Source organism: Homo sapiens, chromosome 4 (genome assembly GCF_000001405.40).
Source record: "Homo sapiens chromosome 4, GRCh38.p14 Primary Assembly".
Lineage (NCBI taxonomy): Eukaryota > Metazoa > Chordata > Mammalia > Primates > Hominidae > Homo > Homo sapiens.
The window spans coordinates 127,459,908-127,485,862 of record NC_000004.12 but is presented as its reverse complement, the minus strand read 5'-3'; the positions used below and the strand labels follow the sequence as shown (position 1 = coordinate 127,485,862).

Genomic DNA, 25,955 nt, shown 5'->3' with positions numbered 1-25,955 from the left:
TTGTGATATTTACTAGAGTAAATCTAAGGGTTTATAGTATGTTTAGAAATAAAATGCATATACTTGAGAGGAGGATTTTGAGATTTGTAGTTGTATACATATATACACACAAACACACATAGAATCTCATTTAATCTTGACAATAATTGTATGAGGTAGGTAGGGACAATACTATTAATCCCATGTTTTTTTTAAAAGAAAACTGAAGCTCAGCAGAACAAAATAACTCAACCAAGAAATCAGAACTAAAATTGAAATCCCTAGTCCAGTGCCCTTTCAATTACATTATACAATAGTAATAACAGTTTTCAACTCAGTTATAGTAGCTTGTAACCTGTTGGTAATTTTCGGGGGAGAAAAATCTCTTCTACAAAATGAATAGCACAGGCATTTTACACTCTGGGATCAGAAATGCTTGCATGTCCTTTGACAATATGCATACTGTTACTTTGATAATATGCATAAATATTATTACCATAAAGCATTTCAATTTAGCAAAAATAAAGAAATAAAATGCATGTACCTCTACACTAAATGTTATTATTTTGAGTGATACAGGGAAGCATCAAGAACTTACTGGCTAGAGGTTTTTTGTATAGAAGGTTTGGGGGTATTTTTCAAATCTTCTCAGGTAATTCTACAGTGCAGCTAGTGCTAAGAACCAGTGGTAGGAAAGGCAAGGTTGGAAGCAACCAGGGCAGGATGCCAAGGGCCTGGACCATGGTAGTGGCAGAGGAAATGGAGAGGCATTTATAATAAATATTTAAAAAGGAATGGTGATTGAGTTTAAGGAAAAAAGCAGAGGGAGAAGTTGATGTTAACTCTGTCTTTCCAATCTGCCAACAGAAGTGGTTAATCTTGTCAGTAAGCTGGTTTGATTGAACGGGAGCAGGAATAGAAAGACATGAATAGACCTGATTTTGGACCCAAGATAGTAGTAGAGAGAGAGTTAGCAATGTAAGAATAGGGTTTTCCCTGTCTGAGTGATTTGTTCTAAGCCTTTTTTTGTTAGAACTACAGTTATGATAATAACATTTTTTAAAATTAATAATTGATGGATATTTTCTTGTAAATATTCACTTAGATCTATCAAATACTCTAAATTGGGTAAGTTAGCAAATACTATCCTATTACTCCTCCCTATGATGGATTTAAACTCAGTAGAGCTGAGGGGAATGGAGGCAACTAGAGTGGTTTCTTGCCTAGCACAGGGCACCTGTTCATTTTGCCACCCTTAAGCATGGTCAGATTCTTGGACCATAATCATACTGGCTTTCTTGTGTAGGTAGCGTGGAGACTATTTTTAGGTATAATGGCCTCATAATGGGACTTTTTATTATTTCTGTTTTTTATGGGGGCCCAGAGTTAAATTCAGGCTGGGTGGGACCCTATGTGTATATTTTGTGGCTACAGACAAAACAGTATAAGGCGTTTCCTTTTGTTCAGTTTCCAGGGTATTTCTGGGAAGTCAGACCATGAAGTTTGCCCCAGGAAATTGTTTGTTTGTGGCCAAGACCAGTGTTTACACATTCTCATTGAGGGAATCTTTAATAAGCCATTCCATTTGCACACACATTGCCCAAAGAAGGTATTTTTACCCTCCTTTTATAAAACCTTGGCATTATAAGAATGTATTAAAACAGCAGCTCCATTGTGAGAGGTTATCCAGAGCTGAAGGTTTGAGGCTCTTTTTTAAGAATGCTGCACATGTAAGCATCTAAGATGACTTAATCCTGTAGATTTCATGTCTTTCCCTCATTGGAAGGATGGTCCCTTTTTATCTTTGGAGGAAAAAAGTAACACAATGTTTTAAAACTTCTTAGTGTTTTTGTTGGATCTCAAAATAATTTATGAAGAAAGTATAGGAAGATAATTTTGCTTAATTTTACCAATGAGGAAGCCATATCCTTGACCTGGAAAGGTTAAAAAAAAAAAAAAACATTCTCAAGGCTCCATATGAGGTTAGCCCCTCCCAGCTAAAAGTAGGATCTTGGAGAAGGAACTCTGGTTACTTTAACTTTTTTATGTAAGGAATTGTAAAATATTAGAAGAGGTTTAACACAGTTTTGAAAAGGTCTAATGACAGTTCAACAGATTTGGAATGGCTGTGAGAGATAAGGCAGAAAACATTTAGCTCCCTCTTTGTGTTTGAATCAGGAATATGACATTATTTACTCAAGGGAGAGGCTTGAATGGCCTGGCTTCAGTGACTTTCTTTCTTTTTTTCTTTTTTGCCTCTACTGATTGTTTTACAATTCAGCTTTTTTTTTTTCATATTTTTCTTCTCTATACTATTTTATGGCCCACTGTAATATTTACTTCACTTGCTAGCTTCCAAATATATCGTTATTTACCATAGGATGATAGGAGGCGGGTCAAGATGAGATAGACACTCCAAACTTTTTTGATTGGATGTTGTTGGATGGCAGGAGAGTGTAGCCTTGGAAGAAGAGTGGAGAAGATACTATGATATTAGGCCAATATTTGTCAATATAATGTTAGGAAAATTTCCTCTTCTAAGTCAGGCTTGGACTGGGACATTTACTCTCCTCCCTGGTGGGGTGGGAATTACATGGTCCATAAAATCTTCTAATTCTCTTCCTCTTTGAAGTACTTCAGACTCTAAAATATCTACTGGGGAGAATGGGTCCTATATGAATAACGCAAATGATTATATATTTATCATCATAATTAATGATATTTCTGCTTTCTCCTCGTTCTATTCTCTGTTGTTGTTGTCAAACAGATTTGTAAGAATTCAATGATGACTCTGACTTATGGTCTGTGTAATATTCTTCCTGTTCACTGGCTTCTGCAATGAGAAAGGCAGGAGAATGTGAATTATATGTTAAGTTGTTTATCTGGGACCTGAGGTCTGGCTATGTGATTTACATCCCCAATTCATATTTCTGGATTTCCTGATAGATATTTACTTTTTTTCAATATGCATCTTCTTCACTATACAGTAAAATTAAAGATTAACAAGTTCCCTTCCCCCTAGTTTGATGTAATCAGACATCACACTAGTATGTTGGAGAAAAATGGAGATTTCCATTCTTCTAATTACCTATTACTAAAAATTCTCTTCCTGTGCTGTTCTGTGCTGTGAGAATACACGGTCCACCAACTGTCTCTTGATTTTGATTCATTCTCAGATCTCTGTCCTTTCTACATTCTTTCTTGTCTTCCTTAATTATTAATTGAGCACATACTGTGGCATAGCAATCTAAGATGTTTTGAGCACACAACCAGAAACATATATTTTGTTTGCATTATAGACAAATAGAGGTTAAAAAGGAAAAGATATAACTAAATAGAAATAGAAGTTTCAGTAACTTCTTTTATATATAAACAACTCAAAGCACAAGAGTAATGCAGTGCAAGGAATAGTCTTTTGTCTCACTCAGTTTCAAAAACAGCCTGGGTTATGTTGCATACTATAACTAATGAAAATATTACCCATGGTAGGTCCTGCAACTTACTGATATAATTTCCATCAAGGCTCATGGCAGTTTTATGTATGCATTTATAAGGGGAGACTCTTAAATACTACTACTGTTCTATATCTAAGGGGCTAAAGTACTTTCAGGAAAGACTTTTTAATGTTCTTGTGTTTGAAAAACATAAAATGAGGTGATGACTGGCAAATGAGAGCAAGCCTGTTTAATATTAAGATTATGACGTAAATTGACAAAAGCCCAAGCATTCCAAGTCCTAGTTGCTAGGCACCTTCTCCTTGCTCCCATCTGAGTATAATGATGCATTGTCAGCCTTAGTTGAGGTACAAAAGGGTTATTAGACTTTTGAGTCCATCTGCTACCCATGCAAAGGAAATAATCGAACTAACACTGCCTGCTCTTTTCCTTGGTTTCTTGCCACCTTAATTATAGTTCATCTGGGCTATGTGTGTACTTGCTGCCTTGGGTAGAACATTTTCCAGGACTGTAAGAAAGCAGAGTGAAAGCTCAGGTAAGGGAATTGAAGCAGAATTTGCAGTTACAGCTTGGGGGAAGGGGTCATCTGGTGACTTACCCAAGCAATCAAACCAACAGCACGGGCTACCCACAGTTCATGTGGCTTCAATGGCAATTATTGCCAAACTATTTTTCATGGAGCTTTTCAATTCAAACTTGGTCCTAGTTTTTGTTTTTAAATATTTGTGGGTGTGTATATATGCTTTTTGTTGAGATTGCTACATCAGGGTGTATTTCTTTTTGAATGATAGAAATTGCCTTTCATTTTTATTTACCTGTCCTGTTTTAGATCAGTGGCTAGCCCTGTTTTCTACTGGGATAAACCTTGTGGAAGATCTCTTCATGCACAAAGTGACACGGGTGTATCATTCATCTAGGTCTGTGCCCTAGAAAAGATAGACTCTGAGTGTTGTGCAGCTCCCTGTGAGTTAGGTAACTTCATCTCTTCCTTTACAGTCAATTTGAGACTCACGAAGGTTACTATACCACAAAAATTGCTGCTATAAAAATATGCCAAGTGGCTTCAGAAAAGGTAACAAAATTTTAATTCCGAAGCTCCAAGGAAGACTTTCCTTCTCCAACTCCTTATAAATGCTTTCGCTATGTGTCCAGAGTGGCTTTTTCTTACGCTTACTCTGTGCAACCAGGACTATTTACACAACCTTTGGTTTAAAACACAACTTTCTTGTTGCATTAACTGATACACCCCCCCACCCTATACAGTATCAAATATATTCTTTCCTTTTGGGTCTGATTTTGTGTTTTGCAAATCTGTGAGCACAAAGGAACACATTTTGGTTTCTTTAAATAGCATGTAGTTAAGAAATGTGAACAAGCCATTTGCAATGAATGTAAGTGAGAATACATTCTGCTTAGTGTTGGTGGGTCTGACTTGCATTATTTCTACAGCTAAAAAATTTTTATTAGTATATTTCTTACTCATTTTAAGAAGAATTTTTTCTGAAAAAATTAAAAAATTGAATTTGAAATACAAAATACAAATTGTCCATATCAATTGGATTTCTTATAACAGTCAACAGTAGATCATGGCCCTGGTCTGCATTTGGTTTCCAGGAGTGCTGGTTTATGTGCTAGCAAGGATTAAAATGGTGCATCGGGGATACATTAGTAGTTCCCCAAACTGACAAATCATAAGAGTTACCAAGGCCTCATTCTCTAGAGATCCAGATTGGGGAAGGGGTAAAGCTGTGAATTTATACTTTGATTTACTCAGTTGATTTCCGAGGAGCAGGCCAATTTGGGAACTACTAAAGAGACCATAAGATTTTGTTCCGGCTCTGTAGTTCTAAAATCTCATGACTATTCTCGATCACATTTCTAGAAATTTAGAGCTAGAAAGTCTCTTAGATCACATTTAAACTAAACCCCTCGTTAAAAATAAAACATTTTTAGAATTATAGAAAGTGCTAAAAATGAAAAATGGATATAAAAAAGAAAAAAGAAGAAAAAAATCTTTACTTCCTATTTTCACCACCTACACATAACTATGCTTATGCTTTGGTAATTTTCCTTCCTTACTCTTAAAAATATATATCTTAAAAAATGACAGCACACCGTACATATATGTAAATATATATATGTATGTTTATAAACTATATTCACTTAATATATTGAGAACATTTTCCATATCATTAGAAATTCCGTAAGGTTACGGAGTCAATGATTCAGCTTTAACACAATTATCGTAATGATTTTCTTACGGTTGGTAACTTAGGTTATTTTCCTTTTAGTTCCTCCTACAAGTGATGCTGAATTAATAGCCTGATTGAAAATTATTTGTGTACATCCTTGGTTATTTCCTTCCTTTCTCAGAAGTTTAATTTCTGGAAATACAGCATGATGGCTGCGAGCATGGACTCTGAGCCATACAGCTTGAATTTGTATGTAGGTTTTACCAATTATTAGTTGTGTGAACTTAGGCAAGGTTTAGTGCCTTGGTTTCCTTATGTGTAAAATTGGGTTAAATATTGTACCTATGTCATAGGATTGTTGTGAAGATTAAATAAGCCAATATACAAAAAGCACTTAGAAATATGTATGGGGCAGAGTAGGAGTTAAATGTTGGCTATTATTATTCCGGCACTAAAGCAGTGTACATTTGAGGCTTTTTGAGAGTTACTGTGAATTTTCCCTCCAGAAAGGCTGTAGCATTAATGTTCCCACCAGAAAGTTTAGAGTCCACTTTCTTACATCCTTACCAACACTGCCAACTTTTTTTCATTTCTAGATGAAGAAAATGAAGTACAACAAAATCAAGTTCTTTGGCACAGGCCTCCAGGCACCAAGAGATTTGGGACTAGAATACAGATACACCACTCCACAAACTTACCCTTATCACAGTTACATATTAAGAATTTTATATTTGTACATTTTAATGCACCTTGTTTTGTAGGGCTGATTGCAAAGACTTTTTTTGCCCTCTGGCAACATTGTAACTGTGAGAGCAATGGACCAATAAAGGAGTCATTATTCTCCAGTGTGCTACATAGTTGTTTGTAACTTACACATTTTCACTTTCAGAAACAGAAATTGGCATTTATAAATATTTATAGGAAAAAACTCCCTGAAAATGCATAATATTCACCTAAACTTTTATTGTTCTCTGAAAGTGAAATAAAAATGGTTCTTATCAATGGGTCACTAGAGGGCACTGTGACTCTTCAAGTTCTCAGGTTGCACTGTGAAAAATTCTTCAAAAGGTATTTTTTATTTCAGTGAGATTTTCTCTGGCATCCAGAAAAGTATAGTCAAATATGAAGAGTTTGAGGGGTGCATGGAACCTGATTGTGTATGAGCTGATCAGGAGGTTACACTTTTTGGTTACAGGAAAATTCAAGTCATAGGAGTTGTTAAATTGTGAAAATGGTATGTTTTGATCTACCTTTTCAGCTCCAGACAGTATTCTGAGCTAGCAACTTCTCATTGCTTTTCCACTTTGGAATATTTTATTTTACAGTTGTATCTCTAAGCATGACTTAAGTCAACACATGACATTAATATGTATGAAATATGCATTCACATTATAGTGACTATATATATTTTTATTTTTTTATTATACTTTAAGTTTTAGGGTACATGTGCACATTGTGCAGGTTTGCTACATATATATATACACATGTGCCATGTTGGTGTGCTGCACCCATTAACTCGTCATTTAACATTAGGTATATCTCCTAATGCTATCCCTCGCCCCTCCCCCACCCCACAACAGTCTCCAATGTGTGATGTTCCCTTTCATGTGTCCATGTGTTCTCATTGTTCAATTCCCACCTATGAGTGAGAACACGCAGTGTTTGTTTTTCTGTCCTTGCGATAGTTTCCTGAGAATGATGGTTTCCAGCTTCATCCATGTCCCTACAAAGGACATGATCTCATCCTTTTTTATGGCTGCATAGTATTCCATGGTGTATATGTGCCACATTTTCTGAATCCAGTCTATCACTGTTGGACATTTGGGTTGGTTCCAAGTCTTTGCTGTTGTGAATAGTGCCACAATAAACACACATGTGCATGTGTCTTTATAGCAGCGTGATTTATAATCCTTTGGGTATATACCCAGTAATGGGATGGCTGGGTCAAATGGTATTTCTAGTTCTAGATCCCTGAGGAATTGCCCCACTGACTTCCACAATGGTTGAACTAGTTTACAGTCCCACCAACAGTGTTAAAGTGTTCCTATTTCTCCACATCCTCTCCAGCACCTGTTGTTTCCTGACTTTTTAATGATCGCCATTCTAACTGGTGTGAGATGGTATCTCATTGTGGTTTTGATTTGCATTTCTCTGATGGCCAGTGATGATGAGCATCTTTTCGTGTGTCTTTTGGCTGCATAAATGTCTTCTTTTGAGAAGTGTCTGTTCATGTCCTTCGCCCACTTTTGATGGGGTTGTTTGTTTTTTTCTTGTAAATTTGTTGGAGTTCATTGTAGATTCTGGATATTAGCCCTTTGTCAGATGAGTAGATTGCAACAATTTTCTCCCATTCTGTAGGTTGCCTGTATACTCTGATGGTAGTTTCTTTTGCTGTGCAGAAGTTCTTTAGTTTAATTAGATCCCATTTGTCAATTTTGGCTTTTGTTGCCATTGCTTTTGGTGTTTTAGACATGAAGTCCTTGCCCATGCCTATGTCCTGAATGGTACTGCCTAGGTTTTCTTCTAGGATTTTTATGGTTTTAGGTCTAACATTTAAGTCTTTAATCCGTCTTGAATTAATTTTTGTATAAGGTGTAAGGAAGGGATCCAGTTTCAGCTTTCTACATATGGCTAGCCAGTTTTCCCAGCACCATTTATTAAATAGGGAATCCTTTCCCCATTTCTTGTTTTTCTCAGGTTTGTCAAAGATCAGATAGTTGTAGATATGTGGCATTATTTCTGAGGGCTCTGTTCTGTTCCATTGATCTATATCTCTGTTTTGGTACCAGTACCATGCTGTTTTGGTTACTGTAGCCTTGTAGTATAGTTTGAAGTCAGGTAGTGTGATGCCTCCAGTTTTGTTCTTTTGGCTTAGGATTGACTTGGCAATGCGGGCTCTTTTTTGGTTCCATATGAACTTTAAAGTAGTTTTTTCCAATTCTGTGAAGAAAGTCATTGGTAGCTTGATGGGGATGGCATTGAATCTATAAATTACTTTGGGCAGTATGGCCATTTTCACGATATTGATTCTTCCTACCCATGAGCATGGCATGTTCTTCCTTTGTTTGTATCCTCTTTTATTTCATTGAGCAGTGGTTTGTAGTTCTCCTTGAAGAGGTCCTTTGTATCCCTTGTAAATTGGATTGCTAGGTATTTTATTCTCTTTGAAGCAATTGTGAATGGGAGTTCATTCATGATTTGGCTCTCTGTTTATCTGTTATTGGTGTATAAGAATGCTTGTGATTTTTGCAGATTGATTTTGTATCCTGAGACTTTGCTGAAGTTGCTTCTCAGCTTGAGGAGATTTTGGGCTGAGACAATGGGGTTTTCTAGATATACAATCATGTCATCTGCAAACAGGGACAATTTGACTTCCTCTTTTCCTAATTGAATACCCTTTATTTCCTTCTCCTGCCTAATTGCCCTGGCCAGAACTTCCAACACTATGTTGAATAGGAGTGGTGAGAGAGGGCATCCCTGTCTTGTGCCAGTTTTCAAAGGGAATGCTTCCAGTTTTTGCCCATTCAGTATGATATTGGCTGTGGTTTTGTCTTAAGTAGCTGTTATTATTTTGAGCTACGTCCCATCAATACCTAATTTATTGAGAGTTTTGAGCATGAAGGGCTGTCGAATTTTGTCATGGCCTTTTCTGCATCTCTGGAGATAATCATGTGGTTTTTGTCTTTGGTTTTGTTTATATGCTGGATTACATTTATTGATTTGCATATGTTGAACCAGCTTTGCATCCCAGGGATGAAGCCCACTTGATCATGGTGGATAAGCTTTTTGATGTGCTGCTGGATTCGGTTTGCCAGTATTTTATTGAGGATTTTTGCATCGATGTTCATCAGGGGTATTGGTCTAAAATTCTCTTTTTTTATTGTGTTTTGCCAGGCTTTGGTATCAGGATGATGCTGGCCTCATAAAATGAGTTAGGGAGGATTCCCTCTTTTTCTATTGATTGGATTAGTTTCAGAAGGAATGCTACCAGCTCCTCCTTGTACACCTGGTAGAATTTGACTGTGAATCCATCTGGTCCTGGACTTTTTTTGGTTGATAAGCTATTAATTATTGCCTCAATTTCAGAGCCTATTATTGGTCTATTCAGAGATTCCACTTCTTCCTGGTTTAGTCTTGGGAGGGTGTATGTGTCCAGGAATGTATCCATTTCTTCTAGACTTTCTAGTTTCTTTGCATAGAGGTGTTTATACTATTCTCTGATGGTAGTTTGCATTTCTGTGGGATCAGTGGTGATATCCCCTCTATGATTTTTTTATTGTGTCTATTTGATTCTTCTCTCTTTTCTTCTTTATTAGTCTTGCTAGTGGTCTATCAATTTTGTTGATCTTTTCAAAAAACCAGCTCCTGGATTCATTGATTTTTTGAAGGGTTTTTTGTGTCTCTATTTCCTTCAATTCTGCTCTGATCTTAGTTATTTCTTGCCTTCTGCTAGCTTTTGAATGTGTTTGCTCTTGCTTCTCTATTTCTTTTAATTGTGATGTTAGGGTGTCAATTTTCGATCTTTCCTGCTTTCTCCTGTGGGTGTTTAGTGCTATAAATTTCCCTCTACACACTGCTTTGAATGTGTCCCAGAGATTCTGGTATGTTGTGTTTTTGTTCTCATTGGTTTCAAAGAACATCTTTATTTCTGCCTTCATTTCGTTATGTACCCAGTAGTCATTCAGGAGCAGGTTGTTCAGTTTCCATGTAGTTGAGCGGTTTTGAGTGAGTTTCTTAATCCTGAGCTCTAGTTTGCACTGTGGTCTGAGAGACAGTTTGTTATAATTTCTGTTCTTTTACATTTGCTGGGGAGTGCTTTACTTCCAACTATGTGGTCAATTTTGGAATAGGTGTGGTGTGGTGCTGAAAAGAATGTATATTCTGTTGATTTGGGGTGAAGAGTTCTGTAGATGTCTATTAGGTCTGCTTGGTGCAGAGCTGAGTTCAATTCCTGGATATCCTTGTTAACTTTCTGTCTCATTGATCTGTCTAATGTTGACAGTGGGTGTTAAAGTCTGCCATTATTATTGTGTGGGAGTCTAAGTCTCTTTGTAGGTCTCTAAGGACTTGCTTTATGAATCTGGGTGCTCCTATATTGGGTACATATATATTTAGGATAGTTAGCTCTTCTTGTTGAATTGATCCCTTTACCATTACGTAATGGCCTTCTTTGTCTCTTTTGATCTTTGTTGGTTTAAAGTCTGTTTTATCAGAGACTAGGATTGCAACCCCTGTCTTTTTTTGTTTTCCATTTGCTTGGTAGATCTTCCTCCATCCTTTTATTTTGAGCCTATGTGTGTCTCTGCAAACGAGATGGGTTTCCTGAATACAGCACACTGATGGGTCTTGACTCTTTATCCAATTTGCCAGTCTGTGTCTTTTAATTGGAGCATTTAGCCCATTTACATTTAAGGTTAATATTGTTATGTGTGAATTTGATCCTGTCATTATGATGTTAGCTGGTTATTTTGCTCATTAGTTGATGCAGTTTCTTCCTAGACTCAATAGTCTTTACAATTTGGCATGTTTTTGCAGTGGCTGGTACTGGTCGTTCCTTTCTATGTTTAGTGCTTCCTTCAGGAGCTCTTTTAGGGCAGGCCTGGTGGTGATAAAATCTCTCAGCATTTGCTCGTCTGTAAAGTATTTTATTTCTCCTTTACTTATGAAGCTTAGTTTGGCTGGATATGAAATTCTGGGTTGAAAATTCTTTTCTTTAAGAATGTTGAATACTGGCTCCCACTCTCTTCTGGCTTGTAGAGTTTCTGCTGAGAGATCAGCTGTTAGTCTGATGGGCTTCCCTTTGAGGGTAACCCGACCTTTCTCTCTGGCTGCCCTTAACATTTTTTCCTTCATTTCAACTTTGGTGAATCTGACAATTATGTGTCTTGGAGTTGCTCTTCTCGAGGAGTATCTTTGTGGCATTCTCTGTATTTCCTGAATTTGAATATTGGCCTGCCTTGCTAGATTGGGGAAGTTCTCCTGGATAATATCCTGCAGAGTGTTTTCCAACTTGGTTCCATTCTCCCCGTCACTTTCAGGTACACCAATCAGATGTAGACTTGGTCTTTTCACATAGTCCCATATTTCTTGGAGGCTTTGTTCTTTTCTTTTTATTATTTTTTCTCTAAACCTCTCTTCTCGCTTCAATTCATTTATTTGATCTTCCATCACTGATACCCTTTCTTCCAGTTGATCAAATTGGCTACTGAGGTTTGTACATTCGTCACGTAGTTCTCGTGCCATGGTTTTGAGCTCCATCAGGTCCTTTAAGGACTTCTCTGCATTGGTTATGTTAGTTAGCCATTCGTCTAATCTTTATGCAAGGTTTTTAACTTGTTTGCCATGGGTTCAAACTTCCTCCTTTAGCTCGGAGTAGTTTGATCGTCTGAAGCCTTCTCCTCTCAACTTGTCAAAGTCATTCTCCGTCCAGCTTTGTTCTGTTGCTGGTGAGGAGCTGCGTTCCTTTGGAGGAGGAGAGGCACTCTGAATTTTAGAATTTTCAGTTTTTCTGCTCTGTTTTTACCCCAACTTTGTGGTTTAATCTACCTTTGGTCTTTGATGATGGAGACATGCAGATGGGGTTTTGGTGTGGATGTCCTGTTTGTTAGTATTCCTTCTAACAGTCAGGACCCTCAGCTGCAGGTCTGTTGGAGTTTGCCGGAGGTCCACTTCAGACCCTGTTTGCCTGGGTATCAGAAGTAGTGGCTGCAGAACAGTGGATATTTGTGAACAGCCAATGTTGCTGCCTGATCATTCCTCTGGAAGTTTTGTCTCAGAGGAGTACCCGGCCATGTGAGGTGTCAGTCTGCCCTTACTGGGGGGTGCCTCCCAGTTAGGCTACTTGGGGGTCAGGGACCCACTTGAGGAGGCAGTCTGTCCATTCTCAGATCTCAAGCTGCATGCTGGGAGAACCACTACTCTCTTCAAAGCTGTCAGACAGGGACATTTAAGTCTGCAGAGGTTTCTGCTGCCTTTTGTTTGGCTATGCCCTGCCCCCAGAGGTGGAGCCTACAGAGGCAGGCAGGCCTCCTTGAGCTGTGGTGGGCTCCACCCAGTTCAACCTTCCCATCTGCTTTGTTTACCTATTCAAGCCTCGGCAATGGTGGGTGCCCCTCCCCAAGCCTCACTGCCGCCTTGCAGTTTGATCTCAGATTGCTGTCCTAGCAATGAGCAAAGCTCCGTGGGCGTAGGACCCTCCGAGCCATGTGCGGGATATAATCTCCTGGTGTGCCATTTGCTAAGACTGTTGGAAAAGCACGGTATTAGTGTGGGAGTGTCCCAATTTTCCAGGTGCCATCTGTCACCCCTTTCCTTGGCTAGGAAATGGAATTCCCTGACCCCTTGCGCTTCCCGGGTGAGGCGATGCCTCGCCCTGCTTCAGCTCATGCTGGGTGTGCTGCACCCACTGTCCTGCACCCACTCTCTGACAATCCCCAGTGAAATGCACCCGGTACCTCAGTTGGAAATGCAGATATCATTTGTCTTCTGTGTCGCTCACGCTGGGAGCTGTAGACTGGAGCTGTTTCTATTCGGCCATTTTGGCTCCACATTATAGTGATTTTAAAGCACTGTTAACCATTATATAATAGATTCTTCCCCCACAAAGTGACCTGGGCCTTTAGCATGTACTTTAGAATGTACCTGAAATAGCTTCAATAACATACTTATTTTTACTCTGTTAAATATTGTGCTAAAAAGAAAACTCTTCTTGAGCCCATGATGATATTTTCCACTTGACTGCTAAGCCTGGGTTCAAGTTAGGAAAACTGGTTAACAGAATTGTTTTACCTTTCAAAATAACTTCCTGAAGGACTCACATACTGAGTAGTGTATCAAGTAGCATCTTTAACAATAATTTAAACTATGATTTCCATTTACACAACATAAAAACCCAAGAACATTTGAAGGTGGTAGTTGCTGGTTTTAATTTGTTAAACTGGCAAATGATTTACCAAATTTTCTCTTTTATATATTTGGTATTTGTAGTAGATCGTTGAGGAAAGATATCTGCGAATCATTAAGTTTGAGTTTGCTCTAGCCTTATTAAGTGGAGTTGGTTTAATTGAGGAGGGGTCTTATAAAGTTTTTAACAACCCAATGCTGGGTTCTTCCCTTAAAAAAAAAAAGGTAAGATAAAAAGACTCTTAATTTCTCCTCCTCCTCCTCTCTGGAAGCCAATCTATAAAAAATCACTGTAGTCCTGGTTACATGGGAGGCTGAGGCAGGAGTGTTGGGAGGACCTTGAACCCAGAAATTTGAGTCTAGATTGGCCAACATAGGGAGAACCCCTCCCTTAAAAAAATCAGCAAATCAGTCATCCAGATGGATTGATTTTTTTACTTACTAACCAAATTCATCTTCCACAACGGTTCACCTGCTCTGTTCCCTCATTCCCGGAATTCAGAGTTTATGTTGGCTAGATTATTTAATTCCTCCCTTCCTTCTTTCTCTCAATAATTAATCTAACAGGCTGTAGGGCTCTATGTCTCCAACTGTGTGTACATTTACTATCTTTTTTTCTAGAGTGACATTTTCTAAAAATATCCAAACCTTGCAATATACCATCTTACTGTACATATGTTGGGTTCAAGTCATGTTTCTGTATCTGAAAGGTTCATTCCTTTCACTGTAAGGTAGAAGATTTTTAACAGTGGTGGCAAGTCATCCCCTCTATATCAGTATTACAGTATGACTGATGGAAAGTGAAATAAGGGCGAGGATGGCTGTGCTCTTTGTCTCCTAGACTGAGTTAGCACTGAAATTGCCTCTGGTATTAGTGGCCTGTTTACCTCTTAATGGTCCCATGCAGATATGGGGCTCACTACTTTAAATATCAATTCTTTTCCTACTTTGGCAATCAGATAAAACCTGCTTCTGCCCCCTTTCTGCAACATGGTAATAATAGCTAACATTATTATCAATATGTATGCAGGCTAAGCACTTCCTATACATTATTGGGTACACAGAGGTCTTCGTCATACTCTATTGGCCTAAGCAGGACTAGCAAAGTGTTCTTTGAAAATCCAAAATGGAACATATTTCCAGGAAAGTTATCTTGCAGGCAGTAACTGAGAATAACTTGGATGTCAGTGACTTTCAGAATGACTCCAGGTTTTCCTTCATTACACTTAAAAAATAATATTTTGGGGATGGGATTATGGAAGTAGAATATATGTGATGGGGGTCTCTTAAAATATTAAACACCTGTTTTTTCAAACCCCCAAACTAGTTTCCTTGCAGCCAGTCCACCATTATGATTGCTGAGAAGGAAACACTACCTGGGGAGGAGGAAAATGGTTGTAAGGAAGCCTAGGTAAGACCACGTAAGCAAAGCGAATGGTCAGACAAGCTTGTCCAGGCTTCTCCCAAAGGGGCAAACCTCGGCAGGTGGCATAGGTGATAAAAAGTGGAGGGATTTTGGACCACATTACAGGGGAAAGCCTGACGTCGAGGAGGGGAACCAAGAAGCCTCATTAATGGACTTGGAAGGAATTTACACCCCGGCAGGATTTGCGTGAGGCGGCTCAGGCACTGGAAAGACCGTGCTGCGCAGGCTCACTGATCACGTGGGGCACCTCCCAGAGGAGCGGACCTCGGTGCTGCCAAGGCACATTGCAGAGCCCATGCTGCGCAGAGCTGACACTGCGCAGGTCCGAGGTAGGGGATTAGCTGAGGGCTCGCGGGGTGCGGGGGAGCCTGGGAATGGTGGGGTTCAGTTTGGGACTGGCAATCCAGTGCATAAAGGACACCCTAGAAGTCTCGTGTTGCACCTCGGGGGACCCTGCTGGGGCCCAAAAGCCAGGTGAGCCCAGCACGACAGTGGTGGATTCCTGAGCACAGAGATCAAGGCCGGAGATGGCGGCCGAGTGCTGTCTAGGAGGCCCAAGAGAGGGGTATGTCACCTGCTGATTCTCTCGAAGACTCGGCCAGTACCCCAAGGTGCCCACGATTACCCAGAAGTTACTCTAACCTAGGAGTGTGTGTGTTACATCAGGAAAAACAGGAGTGACCTTAACTGACAGGTTTACTTTTCTTCCTAACTCCACTGAGCGTGGGCATTGAAAGCCACGTTGTATCAGTTATAGCTACGAAAGGAGCCGCATTTTCACGAAACACTTCAGTGTGGTATGTACTTTTCAGTTTCACAAAGCACAGTGTATTTTTAAAAACACAGAAGAGTAGAATGAAAAAGTTAAGCTTAATCTGGGGCAGGGAACCGCAAGTCCTATTAATATTTGATGTATTTTCTTCCACAAAGTACACAATTGTATTGCAAAATTGGGGTCATACGGTATGTGCAATTTTTGGTCCCAATTATACTTTATGCTTTGTTTTGAAAAATTTCCCAATGCTTCACATATTCGGTGGCTAAAACTTGACTGCACTCTTCACCTTCCTCCTTTCTTTTCTCAAATGTTTCTTCTGGCCTCTTTACTGCCACAACTGTCTCCTTTATACCTCTCCTGGGTACATCAGGCTTCCTCTTTTTCAGTCATGCTTGCATTTTGGGAAGATTTTTTAGTAATGCAGCCACCATTAAGTACTCAGAGACTCTGTTGCCTTGTATGTATTCTGCTCCATCTGTGAATCAGTGCCTCATTCATAAATTGAATTGGGATTAGGAAGCAATAGGCAGAGTGGCTTGTAATTCTATATATTGAGAATATTTTTGAGAACTAATTAATATGAGCAGTCTTACTGGAAAAAATTTCCAGAACCATGACAAACCGTGTTCTGTAATCTTGCAGCCAAGTCATAAATAAATGTTCTTGGTAAAAAGAAGAGGGAGGGTGGTTTTGTTGGGGTTCACATATCATGACCATGAGAAATGTCCACAGCTGTAAGAACACGCTCTGCTAAGAATCTGTCTTTCCCCACCTATGTAGAGAAGGCAGCTCATTTTACTAGTGAAAAGTTTATTCTTACTATGTTTTCGAAACATTTCTGTTTATTTTTATACTATGTCTTCAATGTAAGATGCACTTTACTCTCTATGACTGGTGTCTCTGTCTATAGTCAGCATTTTAAAATCTTGAGGTGAGTTTTACTAACGTAGTTGTATTTTTGACCTTGACTTTAATCTAGATGAGGAAATGAGTCTAGAATGAATAAATGGCTAGTTTTAGTGGTAATTATTTAAGAAGAGTTCCAGTTAATTTCTATATTTTAGGTTTGATTTGATTATTTAAATAAGAATCTATAAGAATATTTTGAAATTACTTCTAAAGAATGAAGCAGGCACTAAAAAGGGAAACATATTCCTCCCCTTCCCCCATCTCAAAGTATACCCTTCCTATAACAAATCCAGCACAATTCAAATTTGTCAATTTGCCTGATATTGAAGGGAAATGATTTTGGGTTTGAAATCTTAGACAATGATATTTCCTGGGAATATGTGAAGAAGTAAGGATAAATAACTAGGAGGAAAGGTTTATTTTAGAAATATTATTTTAACCTCTGCCTATCTTTGCCTTTTTACTTTCCTGACAAAGGAGAAATGCTATTGTGAATTCTATTAGGTTCAGTTATAGTATGTAAAATCATTCTCAGACTGGGCCCTTACATAGCAAATTACATTCTGGAGGTCATCTTTGAGAGCCATATTCCAGACGTAGCTAAGGGAAATACAATTATTTTATGGCAATTAAGAATTTAGAGCCATGGTACCCAGGCTGAGAGCACTGAATAAAAAGAACTTGGAAGAGAATTAATTTAGCTTAGGCTGAGAAGACTCTTAGTATAAATAGCATCTGGCTATGCTCAATTTAAGTTTTATATATTAGGGGAAAAGCACATGTATTTTGCCTGAATTCAGTACTACACATGATTGCTTAAAGAGTAGATATACTGCCATATCTATGAAATGAAATAGAAGTCAGCTTGGTCTGTGGGCTCTCCCATGCAAAGATAGGACCTTTATAATGGTAGCTAGGTTATGAGAAGAAATTGGAAAAAAAGGAGAGGCTGCTTTATATGTATATAATATCACAGGTTGAAGTGGAAAAAATAATTATGCAATATATTGTAAATGTAAAGAACCATGTGTTAAAAAAAAAAAACCCTAAGAATTATAATAATGTGAGAAGGAAAGTTAAGATTAATGGTAACTTTCATCTTTAGAAAAACACATTTTTCTTCTATATCATTTGATATCTGTACATGCATTTAAAAAGAGGTGTTTGGAGGCCAGGTGCTGTGGGTCACACCTGTAATCCTAGCACTTTGGGAGGCTGAGGTGGGCGGATTGCCTGAGCTCAGGAGTTCGAGACCAGCCTGGGTAACTTGGTGAAACCCCATATCTACTAAAATACAAAAATTAGCCCACCATGGTGGTGTGTGCCTGTAATCCCAGCTACTCAGGAGGCTGAGACAGGAGGATCACTTGAACTCAGAGGCAGAGGTTGCAGCGAGCCAAGACCTCGCCACTGTACTCCAGCCTGGGTGACAGAGCGAGACTCCATCTCCAAAAAAAAAAAACAAAAGAAGAGGTATTTGGATCTAGGTTACACAATCCACTGTTTTTCCTCCAGAACAGTGTACAGCATCTTTGGAGATTTCCTGTCAGCTCCTAAGTGAAGAGAATTGTTCTTAAAAACTTTGTGGCCTGTGAGTGCGGTGGCTTATGCCTGTAATCCCATCATTTTGGGAGGCTGAGGCTGGCGGATCACCTGAAGTCGGGAGTTTGAGACCAGCCTGACCAACACGGAGAAACTCCGTCTCTATTAAAAATACAAAATTTGCTGGGTGTGGAGTGGTGCATGCCTGTAATCCCAGCTACCCGGGAGGTGGAGGGAGGAGAATCGCTTGAACCTGGGAGGCAGAGGTTGTGGTGAGTCGAGATTGCGCCATTGCACTGCAGCCTGGGCAGCAAGAGTGAAACTCCGTTTCAAAAAAAAAAACAAAAAAAACCTTGTGGCCTGGAGCTAGGCTTTAACTAGTATAATTTTTCCACATTATCCTTGCAAGTTTAATGCAAATTGAGAAGAAAAGGAAATAATAATGAGGCTTATTAAGTATTGTATAAATTTTGCCAGAGGAAAGATAATGCAAATTATTATTATTATTATTATTAAATTATTTTGAGTCTCGTTTTCTCCCTTTCTCTCTCTCTGTGGTGGACATTTACCCCGTGTGTGGACTGAAAGTCTTTGTTTTACAGACCAAGGGGTACTCAATATACAGCCATTTCTCTTTTATTATTCATTGGTATGACTGAAAAAATCACGTTTGAAAGGAGTCATATTTATGGAATATTGTGTTTGAAGAGCATATGGCTATTAGAGATTAATAAATTAGCCATGAAAATAGGAAATGTCCTGAAGCCCTTGAAACATATTTGGTATTCAGCATTTGCATTAGCCAGTATCTCCCTTTCCAATTTTTAATAGGAGAAATACTACCCTCCTTTCCCCCTTATCTATCATATGTGTCTGTTATATTTAACCAAGTATCTGGGATATATACTCTCAGAACTTAAAAAAGAAGTGTTTTCATAAAAATTCCAGTAAAGGGAAGGGAAAAGGGAGGCTTCCTTTTGTCTTACAGGTTTTATTGTCTTTTTTCCCCTTTATAATCTTGGCACATACTATTACATGAAGGTTATGACAATGTTCAAAAAAGTCTTGTGCTATTTGATATAAATATCACAAGTTACAAATAAGTTTCCTTTGCTAAACGATAAATATGGCAAATGGTAAATAACTATCAGAATGCTTTTTTGACTCCCCTCTGTCTTGTCTTAAAAATGTTGCTTTCTTTTTCTTCCCTTGTTCTTCATCTGTCCTCATGCTTTACTTGATTGAAGTCAGTCATATAGTTTCAAAGAATATCTGAACACTAGTGACTCCAAGATTTACAGTTGTAGTCCAGGGCCACCTCCTGAATTTCTGATACATGTGAGCAGAGATCTTCTTTCAGTTGTCCCGTAGACATGGCATGCATTAATTTATTCATTCACTCAATGGATTTTTATTGAGGACCTAATATGTACCAGGTACTTAACATGTCCAGAACTTGCCATTCTACTCAATTTCTATTTTATCTCCATAAACACTTATCTCCAGATAACAAAAACAGAAACCCGGGACCAGTTTTCTCCTCATTTCCTTGATGTTAATGATGATAAAAATATTGGTCTGACACTGTGATAGGCATTTAACATATTAGTATATTGCATTAACTCATCTGTTCCATGGTGAACAGATCTGTTCTATGCAAACCTACCAGCAAAAGGCCAAAGAAGCTAAGCCAAAGAAAGAGACTGACAAATCCAGGTTCTCAGAAAGAAATAATTAATAGGGACTTACAAACAGAAGCTGTGTCTTGGGCAGTTGGGAGAGGAGATGGTGGATCCCTTCCCCATTTATTTCCCAAACCCAGGGCTTATATAGCATAGGGAATTTGCCTAAGTGCAGGCTTTATGGCAAGTATGTGATTTATAATGCTAAATTAAGTTTAACGTAAAACAGTCTTCTTATGTATATTAAGTTGAACCTCAAGTTCTCTTCCTACACGGTGAACTGTAGCCTAACTGGATGTGTTAACAGGCTATAACCTATTCCTGTGCCAATCACTGAGTTTTGGTCCATCAAAGGCGACCAGCTGTTCAAATAAGGCAAATGCTGAACTGTAACCAATCTGGCTGTTTCTGTACTTCACTTCTGTTTTCTGTATGTCACTTTCCATTTTCTGTCCATATATCTTTGACCAGGCAGCTACACCAGAGCTTCTCTGAAACTATTCTAGTTCAGGAGGTGCCTGATTTGCAAATCGTGCTTTGCTTAATTAAACTGTTAAGTTTAATTAGTCTAAAGTTTTTCTTTTAACAACAATAATATGATTGTTTTGAACTAAGGGCAAAATTTATGGTAAATACATGAAAGTAGAAACCTTAGAAGCAATCACCATACTGGGGTTAATCAGAAGTCAATATGACAGATTAACATCTAAGATGGAGTTGCTTTAGAGTCTGTAATATCAAATCCTTATAACAACTCTATGAATTAGAAACTATTACTATTTTTATTTTACAGTCAGGGAAACTTTCCAGTTGAGAGTTATGTATATTATTTAAGGTCATGCAGTTGGTAGGTGGGAAAGCCATGTCTGAACCAAGGTCATACATAGTAACAGGACCAAGTGATCCTCCTTTGTGAAGATCACTGATAAGTCCCCCTCTTCTCCATCCCCTCTACGCTGGGTGTATAGTTCAGCCCATCAACACTTGGCCTGGACTCTTTTAACCATTTTATCTTATATTGTATTGCTTCAGTGACTCCTCAGTACCACTACCAGATAAATCTTTCTAAGATGTGATCATGTTTATTGTCGCCTTTCAATGGCTTCTAATTATGTGATATGGTAAACACTTATCATTGTGGTCCTCCATGAGCTGCATCTTCCCTCTCTCATATCATCTCATGCTTTACCTTCTTTGTATTCTATGGTGTAGTCACACGGAACTACTTGAGGATCTTGAAAGTAGCATGTTATGTCGTACCTCTTTGCTTTTATTCAGTTTCTTTGCTTGGAATGTCATTTTCCCTTGGTGCATATGTTGAACACCTATTTTCCATTTAGGACTTAACGTCCTTTTTTTTTTTTTTTTTTTTTTTTTTTTGCTGGCAAGATGGCTGAATAGGAACAGCTCCAATCTGCAGCTCCCAGCGAGATCGATGCAGAAGGCAGGTGATTTCTGCATTTCCAACTGAGGTACCTGGTTCATCTCACTGGGACTGGTTGGACAGTGAGTGCAGCCCCTGGAGGGCTAGCCAAAGCAGGGTAGGGTGTCGTTTTACCCGGGAAGTGCAAGGGGTCAGGGGATTTCCCTTCCCCAGCCAAGGGAAGCCATGAGAGACTGTACTGGGAGGAATGGTGCACTCCGGCTCAGATACTGCACTTTTCCCATGGTCTTCGCAACTGGCAGACCAGGAGATTCCCTCTGGTGCCTATGCCACCAGGGCCCTGGATTTCAAGCACAAAACTGGGTAGCTGTTTGGGCAGACACGGAGCTAGCAGCAGGATTTTTTTTTTTTCATACCCCAGTGACACCTGGAACGCCAGAGAGACAGAACCATTCACTCCTGTGGAAAGGGGGCTGAAGCCAGGGAGTCAAGTGGTCTGGCTCAGCGGGTCCCACCCCCCATGGAGCCCAGCAAGCTAAGATCCACTGGCTTGAAATTCTTGCTGTTAGCACAGCAGTCTGAGGTCGACCTCGGACACTCAAGCTTGGTTGGGGGAGGGGCGTCTGCCATTGCTGAGGCTTGAGTAGGTGGTTTTTACCCTCACAGTGTAAACAAAGTCACTGGGAAGTTTGAACTGGCTGGAGCCCACTGCAGCTCAGCAAGGCCACTGTGGCCAGACTACGTCTCTAGATTCCTCCTCTCTGGGCAGGGCATCTCTGAAAAAAAGGCGGCAGCCCCAGTCAGGGACTTATAAATAAAACTCCCATCTCCCTGGGACAGAGCACCTGGGGGAAGGGGTGGCTGTGGGTGCAGCTTCAGCAGACTTAAACATTCCTACCTGACAGCTCTGAAGAGAGCAGCGGGTCTCCCAGCACAGCGTCTGAGGTCTGATAAGGGACAGATTGTCCCCTCAAGTGGGTCACTGACCCCCATGTATCCTGACTGGGAGACACCTCCCAGTAGGGGTTGACAGACACCTCCTACAGGAGAGCTCTGGCTGGCATCTGCCAGGTGCCCCTCTGGGATGAAGCTTCCAGAGGAAGGATCAGGCAGCAATCTTTGCTGTTCTGCAGCCTCCACTGGTGATACCCAGGCAAACAGGGTCTGCAGTGGACCTCCAGCAAACTCCAGCAGACCTACAGCAGAGTGGCCTGACTGTTAGAAGGAAAACTAACAAACAGAAAGGAATAGTATCAACATTAACAAAAAGGACATCCAGTCAGAGACCCCATCTGAAGGTCACCAACATCAAAGACCAAAGGTAGATAAATCCATGAAGATGGGGAGAAACTAGCACAAAAAAGCTGAAAATTCCAAAAACCAGAATGTGTCTTCTCCTCCAAAGGATCACAACTCCTCACCAGCAAGGGAACAAAACTGGATGGAGAATGAGTTTGATGAATTGACAGAAGTAGGTTTCAGAAGGTGGGTAATAAAAAACTCCTCCGAGCTAAAGGAGCATGTTCTAACCCAATGCAAGGAAGCTAAGAACCTTGAAAAAAGGTTAGACAAATTGCTAACTAGAATAACCAATTTAGAGAAGAACATAAATGACCTGATGGAGCTGAAAAACACAGCACGAGAACTTCATGAAGCATACACAAGTATCAATAGCTGAACAGATCAAGCGGAAGAAAGGATATTAGAGACTGAAGATCAATTCAATGAAATAAAGCAAGAAGATAAGATTAGAGAAAAAAGAGTGAAAAGAAACGAGCAAAGCCTCCAAGAAATATGGGACTATGTGAAAAGACCAAATTGACATTTGATTGGTGTACCTGAAAGTGACAGGGAGAATGGAACCAAGTTGGAAAATACTCTTCAGAATATTATCCAGGAAAACTTCCCCAACCTAGCAAGGCAGGCCAACATTCAAATTCAGGAAATACAGAGAGCACCACAAAGATACTCCTCGAGAAGAGCAATGCCAAGACACATAATCCTCAGATTCACCAAAGTTGAAATGAAGGAAAAAATGTTAAGGGCAGCCAGAGAGATAGGTTGGGTTACTCACCAAGGGAAGCCCATCAGACTAATAGTGGATCTCTTGGCAGAAACCTTACAAGCCAGAAGAGAGTGGGAGCCAATATTCAACATTCTTAAAGAAAATAATTTTCAACCCAGAATTTCATATCCAGCCAAATTAAGCTTCATAAGCGAAGGAGAAAGGATTTTGCTTGCCTGTAAAGGATTTTTACAGACAAGCAAATGCTGAGAGATTTTGTCACTACCAGGCCTGCCTTACAAGAGCTCCTGAAGAAAGCAATAAACATGGAAAGGAACAACTGGTACCAGCCACTGCAAAAACATGCCAAACAGTAAAGACCATCGTTGCTATGAAGAAACTGAATCAACTAATGGGCGAAATAACCAGCTAGCATCATAATGACAGGATCAAATTCACACATAACAATATTAACCTTAAATGTAGAGGGGCTAAATGCCCAATTAAAAGACACTGACTGGCAAATTGGATAAAGAATCAAGACCCATTGGTGTGCTATATTCAGAAGACCCATTTCACATGCGAAGACATACATAGGCTCAAAATAAAGGAATGGAAGAATATTTATCAAGCAAATGGAAAGCAAAAAAAAGCAAGGGTCACAATCCTAGTCTCTGATAAAACAGACTTTAAACAAACAAAATCATAAGAGACAAAGAAGAGCATTACATAATGGTAAAGGGATCAATGCAACAAGAAGAGCTAACTATCCTAAATATATATGCACTCAATACAGGAGCACCCAGATTCATAAAGCAAGTTCTTAGAGACCTACAAAGAGACCTAGACTCCCACACAATAATAGTGGCAGACTTTAGCACCCAACTGTCAATACTAGACAGATCAACGAGACAGAAAATTAACAAGGATATCCAGGACTTGAACTCACCTCTGGACCAAGCAGACCAAATAGACATCTATAGAACTCTCCACCCCAAATCTACAGAATATACATTCTTCTCAGCAGCACATTGCACTTAATCTAAAATTGACCACATAATTGGAAGTAAAACACTCCTCAGCAAATGCAAAAGAACAGAAATCACAACAAACAGTCTCTCAGACCACAGTGCAATCAAACTAGAGCTCAGTATTAAGAAACTCTCTCAAAACCACACAACTACATGGAAACTGAGCAACCTGCTCCTGAATGACTACTGGGTAAATAACGAAATAAAGGCAGAAAGAAAGATGTTCTTTGAAACCAATGAGAACAAAGACGCAATGTACCAGAATCTCTGGGACACATTTAAAGCAGCGTGTAGAGGGAAATTTATAGCACTGAATGCCCAAAAGAGAAAGCAAGAAAGATCTAAAATTGACACCCTAACATCACAATTAAAAGAACTATAGAAGCAAGAGCAAACAAATTCAAAAGTTAGCAGAAGACAAGAAATAACTAAGATCAGAGCAAAACTGAAGGAGACAGAGACACAAAAGAACCTGTCAAAAAAAAGCAATGAATTCAGGAGCTGGGTTTTTTGAAAAGATCAACAAAATGGACTGCTAGCCAGACTAATAAAGAAGAAAAGAGAGAAGAATCAAATGGATGCAATAAAAAATGATAAAGTGGATATCACCACCGATCCCAGAGAAGTAGAAACTACCATCAGAGAATACTATAAACACCTCTAAGCAAGTAAACTAGAAAATCTAGAAGAAATGGATAAATTCCTGGACACATACACACTCAAGACTAAACCAGGAAGAAGTTGAATCCCTGAATAGACCAATAACAAGTTCTGAAATTGAGGCAATAATTAATAGCCTACCAACCAAAAAAAGTTTTTGATTGGTAGGACCAGACGGATTCACAGCCGGATTCTACCTGAGGTACAAAGAGGAGCTGGTACCATTCCTTCTGAAACTATTCCAATCAATAGAAAAAGAGGGAATCCTCTCTAACTCATTTTATGAGGCCAGCATCATCCTGATACCAAAACCGGGCAAAAACACAACAAAAAAAGAAAATTTCAGGCGATTATCCCTGATGAACATCAATGCAAAAATCCTCAATAAAATATTGGCAAATGGAATCCAGCAGCACATCAAAAAGCTTATCCACCACTATCAAGTGGGCTTCATCCCTGAGATGCAAGCCTGGTTCAACATACACAAATCAATAAACGTAATCCATCACATAAACAGAACCAATGACAAAAACCACATGATTATCTCAATAGATGCAGAAAAGGCTTCCGACAAAATTCAATAGCCCTTCATGCTAAAAACTCTCAATAAACTAGGTATTGATGGAATGTATCTCAAAATAATAAGAGCTATTTATGACAAACCCACAGCCAATATCATACCAAATGGGCAAAAACTGGAAGTATTCCCTTTGAAAACTGGCAAAAGACAAGGATGTCCTTTCTCACCACTCCTGTTCAACATAGTAGTGGAAGTTCTGGCCAGGGCAATCAGGCAAGAGGAAGAAATAAGGGATATTCAATTAGGAAAAGAGGAAGTCAAATTGTCTCTGTTTGCAGATGACATGATTGTATATTTAGAAAACCCCATCATCTCAGCCCAAAACCTCCTTAAGCTGATAAGCAACTTCAGCAAAGTCTCAGGATACAAAATCAATGTGCAAAAATCGTGAGCATTCCTATATACCAATAACAGACAACTAGAGAGCCAA

General features: G+C 39.3%; 1 long non-coding RNA gene across 1 annotated transcript in view; it reads left to right on the top strand.

Annotated features, from left to right (window-relative positions):
- Nucleotides 1–15,307: 15,307 nt before the first annotated feature.
- Nucleotides 15,308–25,955, top strand: part of LOC102724210 (uncharacterized) — a 396,780-nt gene continuing 386,132 nt past the window's right edge. Inside the window, exon 1 of the long non-coding RNA XR_001741824.3 lies at nt 15,308–15,428. This is a non-coding gene — a long non-coding RNA (uncharacterized LOC102724210). The remainder of the gene's footprint in view (nt 15,429–25,955) is intronic.